This window comes from Homo sapiens, chromosome 10, assembly GCF_000001405.40.
Source record: "Homo sapiens chromosome 10, GRCh38.p14 Primary Assembly".
NCBI classification, from domain to species: domain Eukaryota; kingdom Metazoa; phylum Chordata; class Mammalia; order Primates; family Hominidae; genus Homo; species Homo sapiens.
In genome coordinates this window covers 13,871,805-13,887,908 of record NC_000010.11, presented here as the reverse complement: position 1 = coordinate 13,887,908, position 16,104 = coordinate 13,871,805, and the positions used below count along the sequence as shown (strand labels likewise).

The 16,104-nt window shown below is 45.3% G+C and overlaps 1 protein-coding gene across 3 annotated transcripts in view, besides 5 other annotated features; it reads left to right on the top strand.

The window, feature by feature from the left end:
* The window catches only part of FRMD4A (FERM domain containing 4A), a 687,219-nt gene that overhangs the window by 443,016 nt on the left and 228,099 nt on the right, over positions 1-16,104 (top strand). The window lies entirely within an intron of this gene.
* Positions 600-729: an enhancer, noted in NCBI's record as "active region_3067". NCBI's record gives its function as "activates an Ori minimal core promoter by ATAC-STARR-seq in GM12878 lymphoblastoid cells {active_cell/tissue: GM12878}" and the evidence as "EXISTENCE:reporter gene assay evidence [ECO:0000049][PMID:35858748]".
* Positions 4,342-5,231: an enhancer, noted in NCBI's record as "NANOG-H3K27ac-H3K4me1 hESC enhancer chr10:13924678-13925567 (GRCh37/hg19 assembly coordinates)". NCBI's record gives its function as "activates a minimal SCP1, AML or CMV promoter by ChIP-STARR-seq in naive H9 embryonic stem cells {active_cell/tissue: H9 hESC(naive)}" and the evidence as "EXISTENCE:reporter gene assay evidence [ECO:0000049][PMID:30033119]".
* Positions 5,232-6,122: an enhancer, noted in NCBI's record as "OCT4-NANOG-H3K27ac-H3K4me1 hESC enhancer chr10:13923787-13924677 (GRCh37/hg19 assembly coordinates)". NCBI's record gives its function as "activates a minimal SCP1, AML or CMV promoter by ChIP-STARR-seq in naive H9 embryonic stem cells {active_cell/tissue: H9 hESC(naive)}" and the evidence as "EXISTENCE:reporter gene assay evidence [ECO:0000049][PMID:30033119]".
* Positions 5,366-5,660: an enhancer, noted in NCBI's record as "tiled region #6510; K562 Activating DNase unmatched - State 9:DNaseU". NCBI's record gives its function as "activates a minimal TATA promoter and a strong SV40 promoter by Sharpr-MPRA in K562 cells {active_cell/tissue: K562}" and the evidence as "EXISTENCE:reporter gene assay evidence [ECO:0000049][PMID:27701403]".
* Positions 6,123-7,012: an enhancer, noted in NCBI's record as "NANOG-H3K27ac-H3K4me1 hESC enhancer chr10:13922897-13923786 (GRCh37/hg19 assembly coordinates)". NCBI's record gives its function as "activates a minimal SCP1, AML or CMV promoter by ChIP-STARR-seq in naive H9 embryonic stem cells {active_cell/tissue: H9 hESC(naive)}" and the evidence as "EXISTENCE:reporter gene assay evidence [ECO:0000049][PMID:30033119]".

Here is a 16,104-nt window from a genome sequence, read left to right as displayed (position 1 = left end):
TCATGGAATCAGCACATCCTTCTCTTATAAGGAATAATTTAGACACACCCTTACATTGGAAGTAACCAGCTCTACCACCAGTGGCATTATTTTAAAAATCCCTATCACTGTTCCTCTCTTACGTTTACAGAAGATGGTCAGAGCTGGTGCTACTGTTTAGTACATTGCACTAATGCTTATTTGGGGGGCTAATGAGTGTGTGTGTGCGTTCAGTTATGTTTGTTTTTTGTTTTGGTTTTGTTTTGTTTTCAGATGGAGTCTTGCTCTGTCACCAGGCTGGAGTGCAGTGGTGCAATCTCGGCTCACGGCAACCTCTGCCACCCTGCCTCAGCCTCCCAAGTAGCTGGGAATACAGGCACGTGCCACTACGCCCAGCTAATTTTTGTATTTTTAGTAGAGACGGGGTTTCACCATGTTGGCCAGTATGGTCTCGATCTCCTCACCATGTGATCCGCCCACCTCAGCCTCCCAAAGTGCTGGGATTACAGGCGTGAGCCACCGCCCCCGGCCTCAGTTCTTAACTGTATCAGTGGAAATTGGGCATTTTCCTCCCAAAGAGAAACATTGTTCATCTTCCACTTGAAGATGGAAGTCACTGCTAAGAATAAAAGTCACAGTTGTTGGAAAGTAATAGAGGACTATGGGGGATCCGGTTCAGTTCAGGGGCCTTATTACTACCAAATAATCAAGAAGAAATGAGTGGTAGTCTCAGTTTGAGTCAAATCAAAACCTCTCTACAGATGTACCAGCATAATTAATTCTAATTCAGAGAAGTTCCTTGTAGGCTCTAGCTTGTTAGGAAGGGCGATCTCTACACTGTGTGATGTTTTCTGGCTTTTTGTTTTAAAGGTAGAGCTCCAGCCATTCAATGATGCAATACAAGAAGAAACGTGTTGTCTGTGGTCAGGAGCATTGGTACATCCATACCCTTTGCCCCAAACTCTGACTTACATTCACATGTTCCTTTTTGCTCCTGCCTTCTTAGCAATTATTTGCCAATCCGTGGCTACTGCGTATGTTTTGCTTGCATACACTCACTACATTAACTCGCTGCTCATGTTGAGCACTCCCCGGACCCTGGTTGTATAAGCAAATCGCTGAGTGAGTGTAGCAGACCGCACTCCAACATGGATCTGTTTAGACTTCAGAAACCTGAAAAACCAGCCAAGCATGGTGGCGTGTGCCTGTGTTCCCAGCTGCTCCAGGAGGCTAAAATGGGAGGATTGTTTGAGTTCAGGAGTTGGAGGTTACAGTGAGCTATGATTGCACCATTGCGCTCCAGCCTGGGCAACAGAGGGAGAACCTGTCTCTAAAAAAATAAAAATAAAGGAAAAAAAAGAAAGAAATCTGGAAAACCCCAGTGGTCTAAAGCACAGTGTCGCTTGTTAGGCCCACCTGTGTCAAAACTTTTCTTAGTCTGTGCTGTGGTATGGCCCCTCTTCCTCAGTTAGTAATGCATTACCAACCTTAAAGTCCGGAGTCCTGGTCCTAATGCAGAATCCCAAACCTTTTAATGATATTTTGCACTTCAAATTAGCCAAAACCTCTCCCTGCACACTTGAAGCTACCACTCCACAATTTCCTGTGGGATTAGCCTGTTCATTGGTGATGCAGCCTTCTTTGCAGGGTTTTTGCCTTTCTTTGTCCTTGCTGTATGGGGAACGCATGGGAAAAAAAACAAAAACGGCAGGTAATGGGGAATTAGATTGATAATGCATCACAGGGAATGGAAATAATAATCGGCGAGTTGCCAGGCTGTGCCATTCATAACCAGAAAATGTACCATTACGCTCTCGCCACATGCCTGGGAAGAAGTATATAGATGTGATAAAACCCAAACTAGGAAGCCAGACAGTGTGGGTCCTCCAGAGCTAGACGACATACCTACCAATAGCCGGAGAGTCTAGCGCTGGCTTGCCCATCTCCCGACTCCCACTGGCCAGCCCTGCTAAGTATCTGATATTTATTTCTCTGTTGCCCAGAGAGAGAGAGAGAGAGAAGGAGAGATGGGAGGGTGATGAGGACATGAAGTAGACACTGATGGAGCACAATGGGGAGCAGTGTTCGGCCTTCTCAATCCCCTTTTATTGGGCTGCTTGAGTGTTTTGTAACAGAAGAACTGCAGAGTGACCAGTAGCACAGATGTAGCCTGCAGGTCTTGGCAGGAGGGGAGAACCATGTACAGAAGGCAGTTGTAACAAGGGCTACTGTTAGCAAGGGCTGCAGCCACGGCTGCAGGGCTGCCCATCACAGTCAATGCCTGGTGCAGTCTACAAACCACGTGCATATGTGATCTGGGGGTTATCCAGCCAATCAAACATTTTAGAGAGATGGTGCTTTAGGAATGAAAGGGGGTATCTAGATCATTTTTGCAAATGAGGAAGAGCTTACAGGCATTGAGGGACCTCGCCCTGGTCTCAGCTGCTGCGCCAAGGCTGGTGTCCCTGCCTCCTGATGTGGATCTGTGTGGTGCAACCTGGCATGGCAAACAGAGAGGGGAGGATGGCGCCATCTTGCCCTGGGTTTGGTCATCTAACCAGCTCTGCCACTGCTTATGTGGCCTTGGGTGAATTACTGAGTCTCTCTGAGCCTTGGTTGCTTTATTTATAAGTGACATTCGGAGGAGCAAATTAGTTAATATCTGTGAAACGCCTAACTCTCAAAAAGTATGGGAGACTCTTTTTTCTGGAGAGATGGGATCTTGCTATGTTTCCCAGGCTGGTCTCGAATTCCTGGCCTCAAACGATCCTCCTGCCTTGGCCTCCCCAAGCCCTGGGATTACAGGCATGAGCTACTGCATTAGGCAAGGAGACTTCTCTAGAATAAGAGATTTTGTCTTTGCATTTCCCCCTCTCCAACCTTGTTTACTTATATTACTGGAAGGCTCAACGATGCTAACTTTGGGGGGATATGATCCCATCGAGGTAGAAGAAGCCAGCTGGCTGTAGAAGTGGAGGTGCTACTGAAATAAATGGTGCATCCTCACTTATAATACTGAAATCAATTTTATAGACAGAAAGTAGTATACGTGGACAAATGTTAGCTCTGATATTTCACAAGTGTCACCTAGCCTTCCAGAAAGGGTTCTGCAGATAAAGTCATGACCCTAGCCATTCTTACCTTGTTGGGAACAGGGAAGATTTGTGAAGATGGCAGGTGGCAGGATGTAATAGAGTCTTCTAGCTGTGAAAAGGAATTAGGGTCTATCACTGGGAGCAGATGAGAGAGCCCAGGGCTCTACTACATCTGGGTCTCCAGCGAGTCCTGGAACATTAAGGTAGAGAAGGTCGGTGGGGGGAAGGGAAGGAAGAAAAGACAGATGACTTTGCCTTTGACCCAGTGGATTATATTACCAATTTCTAAGAATTTCTGAAATTCTTTAATTTTCAAAAAAGATCAGAAAAAGCTTTTATCTTGAAAATTCTAGAAAAGATGTAAGAATTACCAAGATTATCTCAATGAATGGCAATTGCATCCTTTTCTGAACAAAAAAGGCAACACTGTAATCACCCCATAATGTTCTTTGTCTACTTCCCATTTATTGCCATTAATTAGGAAGATTTTCAACTCCTATTTTTATTTATTATATTCCACCCAAGTCATTAATGCAACAAGTTAATGGCAGAAATAAGCCTAGATCCTGAATATACAGGATGCCTTTTAGGGAGTGTGTGTGTGTGTGTGTGTGTGTGTGTGTGTGAGTGTGTGTGTGAGTGTGTGTGTGTGTGTGTGAGTGTGTGAGTGTGTGTGTGAGAGTGTGTGAGAGTGTGTGTGAGCGTGTGTGTGAGTGTGTGTGTGTGTGTGTTTCTTTTCCATTGCATCAACCACTCAACCACCGTGAAAATATTGGGATAGTTTCCTTGTAGTTCGAGAAGTCAACGTGTCAATTTGCATAATGTTCATCGAAAAAATTTTAAGCACTTAATAACCTTCTAAATGTTAAATAAAGTCAGAACGAGAGATCATCTGTCTTCTGGAGACTGATTAAACAGGCACACACAGGCAGCAGAAGAAAAACATTAGGCAAATATGCAAACAGGGAGAGTATTTATAGAACATTATATCTGCATCCAAGACTAGGATATATTTTCAGTGAGCCCTAAGGGACAGCGTATGGCCATCTTTTGCCTAGACAGGGCGGAGTGTGTCTGTCATTTGATGGAGAAATTATAAGCTGGTATTTGTTTGTGGTTCCTTCCTTACTTTATTGTGGAAAATATGGCTTTTGTCATCCACAACAATTTAGTTCATTTGCCTTCCTGTTCCTAAAGTTGTAAATTAGTCGATAGAGATTTTGTGCCATGCAGAGATCTGCAACTTCCAACTGGGAAAGATATCCAAATACTCAGAGAATACGAGAATAGTATGCAAAAACACAGTGCTTTGTTTCTTGGTTTTTTTTGTTTGTTTGTTTTTTGAGACAAAGTCTCACCCTGTCACCCAGGCTGGAGTGCAGTGGTGCAATGTCAACTCACCACAACCTCCGCCTCCCAGGTTCAAGAAGTTATCCTGCCTTAGCCTCCCGAGTAGCTGGGATTACAGCCACGCACCACTACACCCAGCTAATTTTTTTGTATTTTTAGTAGAGACGGGGTTTCAGCATGTTGGCCAGGCTGGTCTTGAACTCCTGACCTCAGGTAATCCACCCGCCTCAGCCTCCCAAAGTGCTAGGATTACAGCCGTGAGCCAACGCACCTGGCAGAGCTTTGTTTCTTAAGCAGCTAGATCCTCCTTTGCTTCTTGCCAATGAAACTGACCACGCTCCTAGAGAACTGACAAAACTCAACTAAAAAATTCCATAAACTGGCTGGGTGCAGTGGCTTATGCCTGTAATCCCAGCACTTTGGGAGACCGAGGCGAGAGGATCACTTGAGGACAGAAGTTCGAGACCAGCCTGGCCAACAAGGCAAAACCCCGTCTCTACAAAAAATACAAAAATTAGCCAGGTGTGGTGGCATGCACCAGTAGTCCCGGCTACTTGGGAGACTGAGGTGGGAGGATTGCTTGAGCCCAGAAGGCAGAGGTTGCAGTGAGCCGTGATAGTGCCACTGCACTCCAGCCTGGGTGACAGAGCGAGTGTGTCTCAAAAAAAAAAAAAAAAACCAAAAAATTATACTGTGGCTTTTGGTTTTGTATTGGATGTAGATAAAAGTCAATACACCAGTGTTCATTTGTAGGAAAGATGGGGTGGAGGAACTCAAGTATCGTGGCTTGCCCTGCTGGCTGGGCAGTGAGGATGAAGAGGGCACATGGCATCTGTCCTGTGCCTTCCCAGCAGAACTTTCCTGAAGGAGCCTGTCCGTCCATCTGGTTTTGAAATGGCTGATTCTGGGTTTGGCTACTTACCAGTGTTCCCTAAATACTATTCCCCAAAGCAGCCTCACTGGGTAGGATTCCAGAGCTTACAAATGCTTTGCTGTTTCCCTTTGTGATTACTGGTCCCACCTGTGGTTTTCTCATTACTCCTCTTCCTCTTCCTCCTCCAAGGCTCAGACCTCATTGTCCCATGATGTGACTCACCATGCCTGCCTCGAGCTTCCTCTTTCTGCGTTGCTCGGAGTCAGCTGTTCTTCAGCTAATCTTTCCAATCAAATTTCTCCAATGCCTCGGTCCATACATTGTCTTCCCACATTCTTTTAGGGTGAGGTGCTGACTGCCATTGTCATAGTTTAGGGGCTCTCTTTCCTGAGTCATTATAAAATCATCACAGCTTATCCTTTGGCCAGCTTCCTATACCCCTGACCACATCCACAACCCCCACCTCAGCACCCTGCATTCTTCGTAGACCACAGTCCTTAGCATGGAAGAAAAAGCCCGTCACAATCTAGAGGCTTCTTATTTCTTAAACTTCTTTTCTTATGTTAACCATCACACACACACACACACACACACACACACACACACACACACACACACACCCTTGCCTCTCCCCAAGCACATTTGACCTCATCTGGACTTCAGCCTTTGCAATTGCTCCCTTCACATTGCCATTCCCCTCCCATCCCTTTCCTGCCTGGGACGCACCTACTCATTCTTTACTTGGAGCCTCCAGTGTTCCCTGCTCCTGTTCCTCCAAGCAGAAGCGAGTTCCTCTCCTCTATTCTCCAGAAGCATGCGTGCTGGAAGGCAGTCGCAGTTCGATCCTATGGACAGTGACGACCTGTTCACATGCCTCCCACCGTCGCTTTTTAGGGGTAGGACCGTATCTTCTTTGTCGTTGACAGCACAGCACCCAGCGTTATCCCTGGCATTTGGCAGGTGCTCAGAAATGTAACTGAGGAACTCATTGTCACGTTGTGATTTCTCCTTTTTTGACTTGTCTGCGCAGATCTCTAGGGACTGTTTCCTGCTCCAGCCCAGGGCCCCTACCTATGGTCAGCTCTTCTCTCTGCTAGGGAGCTCTGCTTTCTCTCTCTGCCTGTTTCTATGTCAAATGGGAAGAGAATAAGGATAGTGTGACAACTCTCTTTCTCTCTCTGTCTCTCTCTGGCCCATTCTTGCTCTGTCACTCAGATTGGAGTGCAGTGGTGCAATCATAGCTCACTGTAGCCTTGAACTCCTGGGCTCAAGTGATCCTCCCACCTCAGCCTCCCCAGTACCTGGAACTACAGGCATGCACCACCATGCCCAGCTAATTTTTTTTTTTTTTTTTTTTTAGAGATGGGGGTCTCACTAGATTGCCTTGGCTGGTCTTGAACTCTGACCTCAAGCGATCCTCCCACTTCAGCCTCTCAAAGCTCTGGGATTACAGGTGTGAACCACCACACCCAGCCCTCCTTTTTTTCGTATAAAAAATGCTACCCTGGCAAACCCCAGCTGGCAAATGGCAGAAGTATTTGAGTGCCACAAGTTCATTCATTAATTCATTCATGCACCCACCCATTCAATCATTCAACACATACCTATTGGTATGCCTTGAACATTCCAGGAATGTGGCAGTGAGAAAAACCAACCAAGTCTTGCCCCTGGGGAGCTTGCATTCGAAGAGGAAGGGGCAGACAATCCACATGATCCATAAGTAAGTGACAGAGGATGCTAGAAGCTGGTAATTACTACAAAGAAAAACAAAGCAGAGGAAGGGAAGTGTGCTAAGTTGCTCTTTTAAACACAGGGGTCTTGTAGACCTCGGGAAAGGTGATCATTGAGCAAAGACTGAAAGGATGTGAGGAGGTAAGCCAGGTGGGTGTCTGGACGTGGTGAGTATTCCAAGCAGAGGGCAGAATTCATCAAAGGCACTGAGGCAGAAGTGTGGCAGGGAACAAGAGAGGTTGCACCCAGGAGAGGTCCCAGAGCCATGTGGTGCAGGGTGAGGACTGGTGGGAGTCACATGGGCCTTTAAGGCTCTACCCTGGGGGGCTCTCCCCATTGTGGAGCTGGGGAGCCCCTGGTCCCACGGAGGCCATGCAGAAATGGTTTGGGTGCCGTGTGGGTGAGATTGCAAGGTGGGCAGAGTTGGAAGCACATTTGCAAGAATCCAGACAAATGATGACAATGATGATGATGACGGTGATGAAAAGTGTTCAGGTTCTGGATATTCTGAAGACAGAACCAACAGGATTTTCTGAGGGTTCAGTGTGGGATATGTGATAAAGAGAAGAGTCCAGAATTTGGGGCCAAAAGAGCACAAAATGGAGATGACGAGGCAGAGCTACCATTACCTGGGAGGGGAAGCTGTGATCTGGGGAAAAGTGAGATCAGGAATTCCGTCTGGGACTCGCTGAGCTTGGGATGTTTAACAAGGGACCAAGTGAGGTGTGGAGAGGGCAGTTTTGAGCATAATTCTCTACAAACCTGGGTCAGGGGACACCACAGTGGAGACACAGAGTTGAAGCTCACCCATGTACAAACGATGCTTAAAGCACAAAAGACTGCCAACTCCAGGGTTCAGAACTGAGTATGATGACATCTGGGAAAATGCATAAGCACCAAACTTCAAATAATAAGAATATAATGTATGAAAAACAGCCAAGCGTGGTGGCTCACACCTGTAATCCCAGCAACTTGGGAGGCTGAGGTAGGAGAATCGCTTGAGGCCAGGAGTTTGAGAGCAGCCTGGGTCAAATAGTGAGACCCATCTCAAGAAGAAGAAGAAGGAGGAGGAGGAGGAGGAGGAAGGGAGGAGGAGGAGGAAGAAGGGGAAGGAGGGGGAGGGGGAGGGGGGAGAAGGGAGAGGAGGAGGGAGAAGGGAGAAGGGAGGAAGAGGAGGAGCAGGAAAAGGAAGAGAAAGAAGAAGGAGGAGGAAGAGGAAGGAAAGAAAAGAATTCCTCATTGTGTGAAAAGTTCTGTTGAGATGTGCCATTGTACAAATTGAATCCTCAATGTCATGCTCCTGATGGTGTCTTTTTGATAACTTGGAAGAAATGTCTCTCTTTTATTTTATTTTATTTATTTGTGGGGAGATGGGGTATCACCCTGCTGCCCAGGATGGAGTACAATGGTGCCATCATGGCTCACTGCAGACTCAAACTCCTGGGCTCAAGTGATTCTCCCACCTCAGCCTCCTGAGTACCAGGGACTACAGGCCCATGTCTCCATGCCTGGCTACGTTTTTTAAAAGATTTTTTTTGTTTGTTTTTGAGAGATGGGGTCTTGCTGTGTTGCCTAGGCTGGTTTTGAACTCCAGGCCAAAGCACTGGGATTACCACCACACCCGGCTAATTTTTGTATTTTTTTTTAGAGATGGGGTCTCACTGTGTTGCCCAGGCTGGTCTCAAACTCTTGGCTTCAAGCAATCCTCCAGCCTTGGCCTCACAAAGTGCTAAATCTCATATTTAAATAGATTTATTAATATATCATTGACATACAATAAACTATGCTTATTTAAAATATACTGTTGGATATGTCTTGATATGTGACTATACCTGGGAAACCATCACCACAATCAGGAATTGTAACTCTGTACTTTTATACTTTTAGTCAATCATTTGTGTGATGCTCAGGACTAGACATGAGGAAGGATATAAAATGTCATCACTGTCCCTGCCTCATCTGTCTGTCCTGATTTAAAATTCTGGCTTTCCAATACTATTATCTAGTCACAGACTCATTTCCAGGTTCCTTCCTTCCTTCCTTCCTTCCTTCCTTCCCTCCCTCCCTCTCTCTTTCTCTCCTTCTCTCTTTCTCTCTCTCTCTCTCTTTCTTTTCTTTCTATGTTTTGTGATGGAGTCTCGCTGTGTCGCCCAGGCTGGAGTGCAGTAGCGTGATCTCGGCTCACTGCAACCTCCGCCTCCCGGGTTCAAGTGATTCTTCTGCCTCAGCCTCCCGAGTAGCTGGGATTACAGGTGCTCACCAGCATGCCTGGCTAATTTTTGTATTTTTAGTAGAGACAACGTTTTGCCATGTTAGCCAGGCTGGTTTCAAACTCCTAACCTCAGGTGATCTGCCCGCCTCGGCCTCCCAAAGTGCTGGGATTACAGGTGTGAGCCACCATGCCTGGCTTTATTTCCAGGTCTTTTCTGAAGGTTTTGCTAAAAATACACTGCACTTTGGTTATCAAAGGGTTTGGTGTGACATGGTGAGCTGCTTGCAGCAGTGTCACTGGTTAAACCAGGAAAGTGCAAAGATCAGGAGCCCAGCCAGCTTTTAAGCAGCTCAGATCCAGGCAAAAACATCTCTCTCCTTCCTTCTTTCATGGAAACAGCCCAAACACTAGGCTCTATTTCAGCTTTTTTTTTTTTTTTTTTTTTGCTACAAGTAGTCAACACAGTAATTACCTCCTGCTGAAAGCTTTGAGAAATTGTTCTGTGTCCAATTAGAATTTTTGATTTGACTAACAGATACAACATAACATCTTTATTTCTGTAACTGCTCACTAATGATATGCACCCTGGATATATTTAGACTCTCGTTTGCCGGGGCCATTGCACTGTAAGGTGCTACGTTACTGTCTGTGACAGCATTTCCACCAAGAGGCTTGATGAGGATGGGGGTGGGGAGACTTTTGGGTTTGGGAGTCCTCTCCCTCGCTCTTTCCACCCCTCTCAGGCCTGACCTTCCATGCCCAGGCTTACATGGGGAGCAGCTCTAGGACTTATCCCCTCCTGGGAGCTCCTGACACTGGACCAGGCGCCCAGGGGCAGATCTCCATGAAGTGTCTGGGATGGTTCATGGGGCAGCCAGCCAGTGTCAAAACCTCCCCCAGGAAGAATGGAAGGAGGGATCTGCCAGCACAGCTCATGCAAGACCAAGAAGTCCCTGCCAGCGACATTCCAGCAGAACCCTTTCCAAAGTACTTGGTTATGTAAACAGAAAGGCGGTAGCCTCTAGCCCAGATGGACTGCTCCGTGTGGATGTCAAAGTCACTGTGGAAACTTCCCCCTATGGAAGCACTACGGGTCCCCAAGCTCTCCCTGCAGCTCTGTATTGGAATGGGGAGGGTTGGGGACTTCTTTTTGACCTCATGGAACTGGGACCTCCGTGTAGGACTGGTGGTTCTCTAGTTCTCGAGCGTCCCTGTTTCTCAGATGTGTCTTGCTCCGATGCCACTAGAGGTTTGATCTGATTTAAGGGTGTCACTGGAGTCAGCTGTCGGTGTGGAGTGCTTCCTGCTAAACGTGGCAGGACTTGGCATCTGAGCATGTGGACCTTGGATTTAGGCACTTAGTACAGGAGTGCTTTGTATCCAACACAGGTTTAGCAAAGCAGGTGGCCTGGCAGGACATACTAACCTCATAGGTGGCCATTTTCCTACTGTATGTCAAGAGCCACCAAAGACCCAAGGGTGGAATTTGGAAAACTTGCAGGTGGTCTAGAATACTATTTTCTGCTCCACACCTCCCTGGGAGGCAATGGAGATTATGACTATAGTAGTATACAAAGAAGATTGTTTATGACAAGGAGAGCCCATTCCCCAACTCTTATCTATGTGGCTTCACCCATCACTGAGGGCAGATCCACATTGATTCTGCTTGTCACATAGGTATGTGAATGACAAATAATGCATGTGTTCCTGAGACTGGCTTTTGGGGCATATTTCTACAGAATAGGCAAATTAAAACATATTTCACTGAATGCAAATTAATTTATATAGTACCTATATTACATAATTGCCCTTGAAATTATATATATAAAGATATATGCTATTTAAATATATATTTATTATTCATATAAAATATTTATTGTGTGCCTATTATGGCAGTCACATCATTCTATTTTAATCACACGTATTATTGTTTTAGTATCAATAAAATGTTTACAACTGTGAAAACTTATTGTATAATAAGACCCATAGTTGTAAATAATACTGTGTCTCCTTCCATTGATCACAACATAAGCAAAATTTTTTTAAAATTTCATTTAAAACGACAGATTAAACTGGACACTGAAACAAAGTAGGCAAATTCATGTTACCAGAAAGTGTTATTAAGGTTCTTGGTTACTGAGCACGTGAATTCTCTACCAAACCAGCAACAGATGCCGGTAACTCTTCTGCACAGAATTACATTTTAAATAGGGGATGTTCGACCACACATTTATATGAGAAAAATTGGTAGCATCAAAAAGTAGAAAAATGCGTTTGTGCCTATCAGTCTGTACTAAAATTTTTGTAAGCTTTCTGAAGCACTGAGTGAACGTTGTAAAAATTTGTTTCACCAAACCACATGTAATATTGTACCAAGGAAACATCACAAGTAAATACATCAGCTATCAGAATGAATATATTTTCTTGGAACTCTTTGTTTCTAGCTGTGCCTATATATCCATGCCTTATACATCACAACTTATTGGAGAGGAAGGGAAGGGATCTTAGAGTCCGTCTGTCCCTGAGTTCTGTAATCCTTTCTACAACTTCCCTTGCTAAAGTCTCTGGTCCCTTCCTGATGATTTGCAGTGATAACGGGGCAACCCATTCCATTTTGAGCAATGATGCTTGTTCAAAAGTTCTTCCTTCCATTGAATCCGAATGTATCTTCTGGAATTTCCCCTCATTGGGTCTATTTTTTGCCCACCAAAGCAAAGTTAACCCACCTTCACTTTATACACATCAGATTAGCAAGTTCCCCCGAACCCCCATTTGGGTAAGCCCAGGACAGTCCTAGTTTATACCTGTTCTCTCTATATAATCAATAATAGCCTCCCTTTTGCCTCACAAGTATCTGGTATGGCCAGTAGGTTGTATGGTCACGCTACCACTAGAGCTTGTGATATGTAGGCCACCGATGCAGCTTTTCCCTCAGTCCTGGGAAGTACTGGTTTCTGGACCTTCACCCGGTCTAGTTATCCTTCTTTGGTCTCTCTCCCATTTCTTTCATTTTCTTGTATAAAATATGGTACCCACAATTGAATACAGATTTCCAGAAGCAGTTTAACCACAGTAGAATGCAGGGCACCTCTTAATTCCCTTATTCCGATGCTGGGCTTCTAGCACGTGCGTGAAGAGTACGACACAAAACTGTAAACAATATGACCCCAACTTTGACATTTGAAGCTACCATCCGAACCTCTTTGCCCTCTGTAAATCTGATATGCATGCCTGCTATGTCCCTTTACAAATCACTGGGGGGAAATACATGGATTGAGGAAGACAAGTTCTACTTTAATATCACTTTGCAGTTTTCCAAGTGCTTGTGGATCTTGCTGTTGCAGCCCTGTCTCCAGACTCCCCTCATTTTGGCCTCATGATGAAATTGACTTGAAAACAGTGCTCAGTGGCTATTTCCTATTTCAAGCGATTTAGCCATCCTCACTCAGACGATTAGCTCCCCCTTCTTTGTTTTCATAAAGACGGTGTCCAGCTGTATTTCTCACTGCTTCCTTCTCATCCGCCACGGTGTCCTTCAGCTCTTTGCCTGGGTGACATTTCCAGAACATTCTATGTTCTCTCCCATTTCATCCCTTCTTACCTCATGTTGCTGTGTTCTGCAGATATCACTCCTTCCCTGGGGTATTGACGGATCCACCAGGTGTGAGTTAGGGTGTCCCCCCGTCCCCATCCCATAGCATCTTATACTCACCCCTGTAGTCACACTGATCACTCTGCAACAGCCTGTTAACTTGGGTATTTCCTCTACAGAACATAGAAGTTCCTTAAGTATAGGAGCAAAATCACATTCATCATTATATACCTAATAAGATCCCTGGCACATAATAAAGATGCTATAAGCACTTGAGTGAACACATTGTGGTGAACATTACTGTGAATAATTCTTTATTCTATTTCTCTTGTTTCGATGGGGAAAATTCCTAGAAGAGAAATGACAGAGTCCAAGGATCTGGACTTTTTAGCTGTTTGCATTCTATTTCCTGGAAGGTGTTAGTGGTCTTCTAATTAAGTTGTAATTATCTACTAACTAAATGATTTTATCTTTAATATAGTAATTCCCATTATAGTTGTTACAATACCTTCCTGAAATTTACATTAACTTTTTACTTTTGCTTATGGGGCCTTGTGGAGTATAATTTATTGTTTAGAATGATCTTTATGGTAGTCAAATCCATAGTTTTTTCCTTTTTGGCTCATTCATTGCTTTTAGGCTTAGAGAAACATGGTAAATAATCATCTACCTGGTTTTAAAATTTAACTTTATAAACTACCTGGGATTTATTTTGGGGAGAGAGTGCAGTTCATTTATATTCCTTTCATTTCCCTCTTGATTGAGAAGAGTGAAACAAACAGAAGCTGAATTGTTCAGCAATTCCTCTTTTTTTTTTTTTTTTTTTTTTTGAGACAGTGTCTCACTCTGTCACCCAGGCTGGAGTGCAGTCGTGCAATCTCGGCTCACCACAACCTGCGCCTGGCAGGTTCAAGCGATTCTCCTGCCTCAGCCTCCCAAGCAGCCGAGACTACAGACGTGTGCCAACAAGCCCAGCTAATTTTTGTATTTTTAGTAGAGACGAGGTTTCACCATGTTGGCCAGGCTGGTCTCAACTCCTGACCTCTGGTGATCCATCTGCCTCGGCCTCCCAAAGTGCTGGGATTACAGGCATGAACCACCACACCCAACCAGCATCTACTTGCTTCAAACAATATTTCCATTCCCTTCCTTGCTCTTCTTGCTTTGAACATATCTTTAAAGGTTCTTTTATTGTCCTTAGACTTTCCTTGTTTTAAATATCAGTGTCATGACTAGGTACGGTGGCTCAGCCTGTAATCTCAGCACTTTGGGAGGCCAAGGTGGACAGATCACCAGAGGTCAGGAGTTGGAGACCAGCCTGGCCAACATGGTGAAACTCCATCTCTACTAAAAATACAAAAATTAGTGGGGCATGGTGGCTGGTGCCTGTAATCTCAGCTGCTCGGGAGGCTGAGGCACAAGAATCACTTGAACCTGGGAGACAGAGGTTGCAGTGAGCTGAGATCGTACCATTGCACTCCAGCCTGGGCGAAAGAGCGAGACTCCGTCTCAAAAATAAATTAACTAATTTAAATAAATAAATGTCAGTGTCAGCTTTCCAACTCTCTCCCTGTAAACTTGTAGTGCACGAAAAATGCTGGAAATATTCCTCATACACACTTTGTTCTACTACAATCTAGTCTCCTTTGCGAGTTCTCCAGCACACATCCTGTGTTCTTCATGTCTCAATCTTCACTTCCTCATTTAATTTTATCATGTGATCAAAATTTTACGTTTAAAGTCACCATCCCATATGAACTATATTTTTTTAGATCCAGAGAGTCAAACTTATCTTTTTTTTTTTTCAGCCTTATCTTTTTTTCTAGGCTTTTAAAAACTGTCTGTCTGGGGTCTCCATCTAACTATTCTTTTATTTTTTTATTTTATTTTATTTTTTTTGAGACAGTGTCTCTCTCTTTTCACCCATGCTGGAGTGCAGTGGTGTGATCTAGGCTCACTGCAACTTCCACCTCCTGGGTTCAAGTGATTCTTCTGCCTCAGCCTCCCAAGTAGCTAGGACTATAGGCGTTCACCACCATGCCCGGCTAATTTTTGTATTTGTAGTAGAGATGACGTTTCACCGTGTTGGCTGGGCTGGTCTTGAACTCCTGGCCTCAGCTGATCTGCCCCCCTCCGCCTCCCAAAGTGCTGTGAGTCACTGTGCCCAGGCTCCATCTAACTATCCTTTTCTACTCTAAAAATTCCAAGTACAGTCATCAAAACAAAAGAAAAGGTAGATACTTGCCTTTCCCTTTGAAAAAAGCCTCTCATTCTACTCCAAACAAACAAACGAACAGACAAAAATATAAACAACCTCTGTCACTCATACTGAAGCCAGAGCTCCATGTGGCAAAGAACAGGTGTTATTTTCCATCTTTCCTCACTGTTCCCCCAGGGAACAGTTGGATGTTAGGTAGGTGTGTACTTTCTGGCCACTTCTTGCATGTTCTGTTTCTTTGGGGTTTACACCTCTCCCAGCTGCCCTTGCAGAACGTCTGCGTGAACGCATGTGCTGTGAATAAGAATTACGTGCATGCGTAAGAACCTGGACATTTTCCCACACATCGTGCATGGGTATTCCTAAACCTCCTTTCTTAGGCCAGCTCCTGTATTTCTTACATCTGCTCTCAACGTAATGAGTGCGGGTGCCACAGGATGGCCCTGGGAACCAGTTACTGGGAAAAAGAGCTGGGCTTCTAAGCGTCCTGTCTGAACGAAGTACCCTCCTCAACAAATGACCAGTGCCCCCAGAGCTTCATTTTGTGAAGGCCTGGCACTTGCTCAGTCCCTGAAGACAGCCATCCCAATGCCACCTGCCCAGAATTAGCCTCCTCACCCATCCAGAGCCACAGGAGACCTGGCATGAGGGGACAGAGACCTGCAGCGCCCCCGGGCCTTCCTATAGGAGCAGGGAGCAGCAAATCAGATCAGGGCCTGACTCCACTGTGTGTAGGCGGCAGTCAGTGGTTCAGCATTCAGCGTTCTGCACTTTTTATGTGCAGCGTTCCTCATCACAACTCTACGAGGTAGGAATTGCTGTCATCTCTGTTTTATAGATTACGGAAGGAGGCCACGTTGGTGAAGTAACTTCTGGAGGATCACACTCAGCTAGGAAGTGGTGAAGCCAGGATAAGCCACAGCCCCGGGTGGCCGAGCTCTGGAGCCTGGCTCTGACCCACCGTAAGCCCCGGCGGTGTGGCTCAGGGAGGGTAGCAAGGGAGGCACAGTGTGTGGCTCAGACCTCTGGGTCCCCAGGTAGCTGGAGGACAGG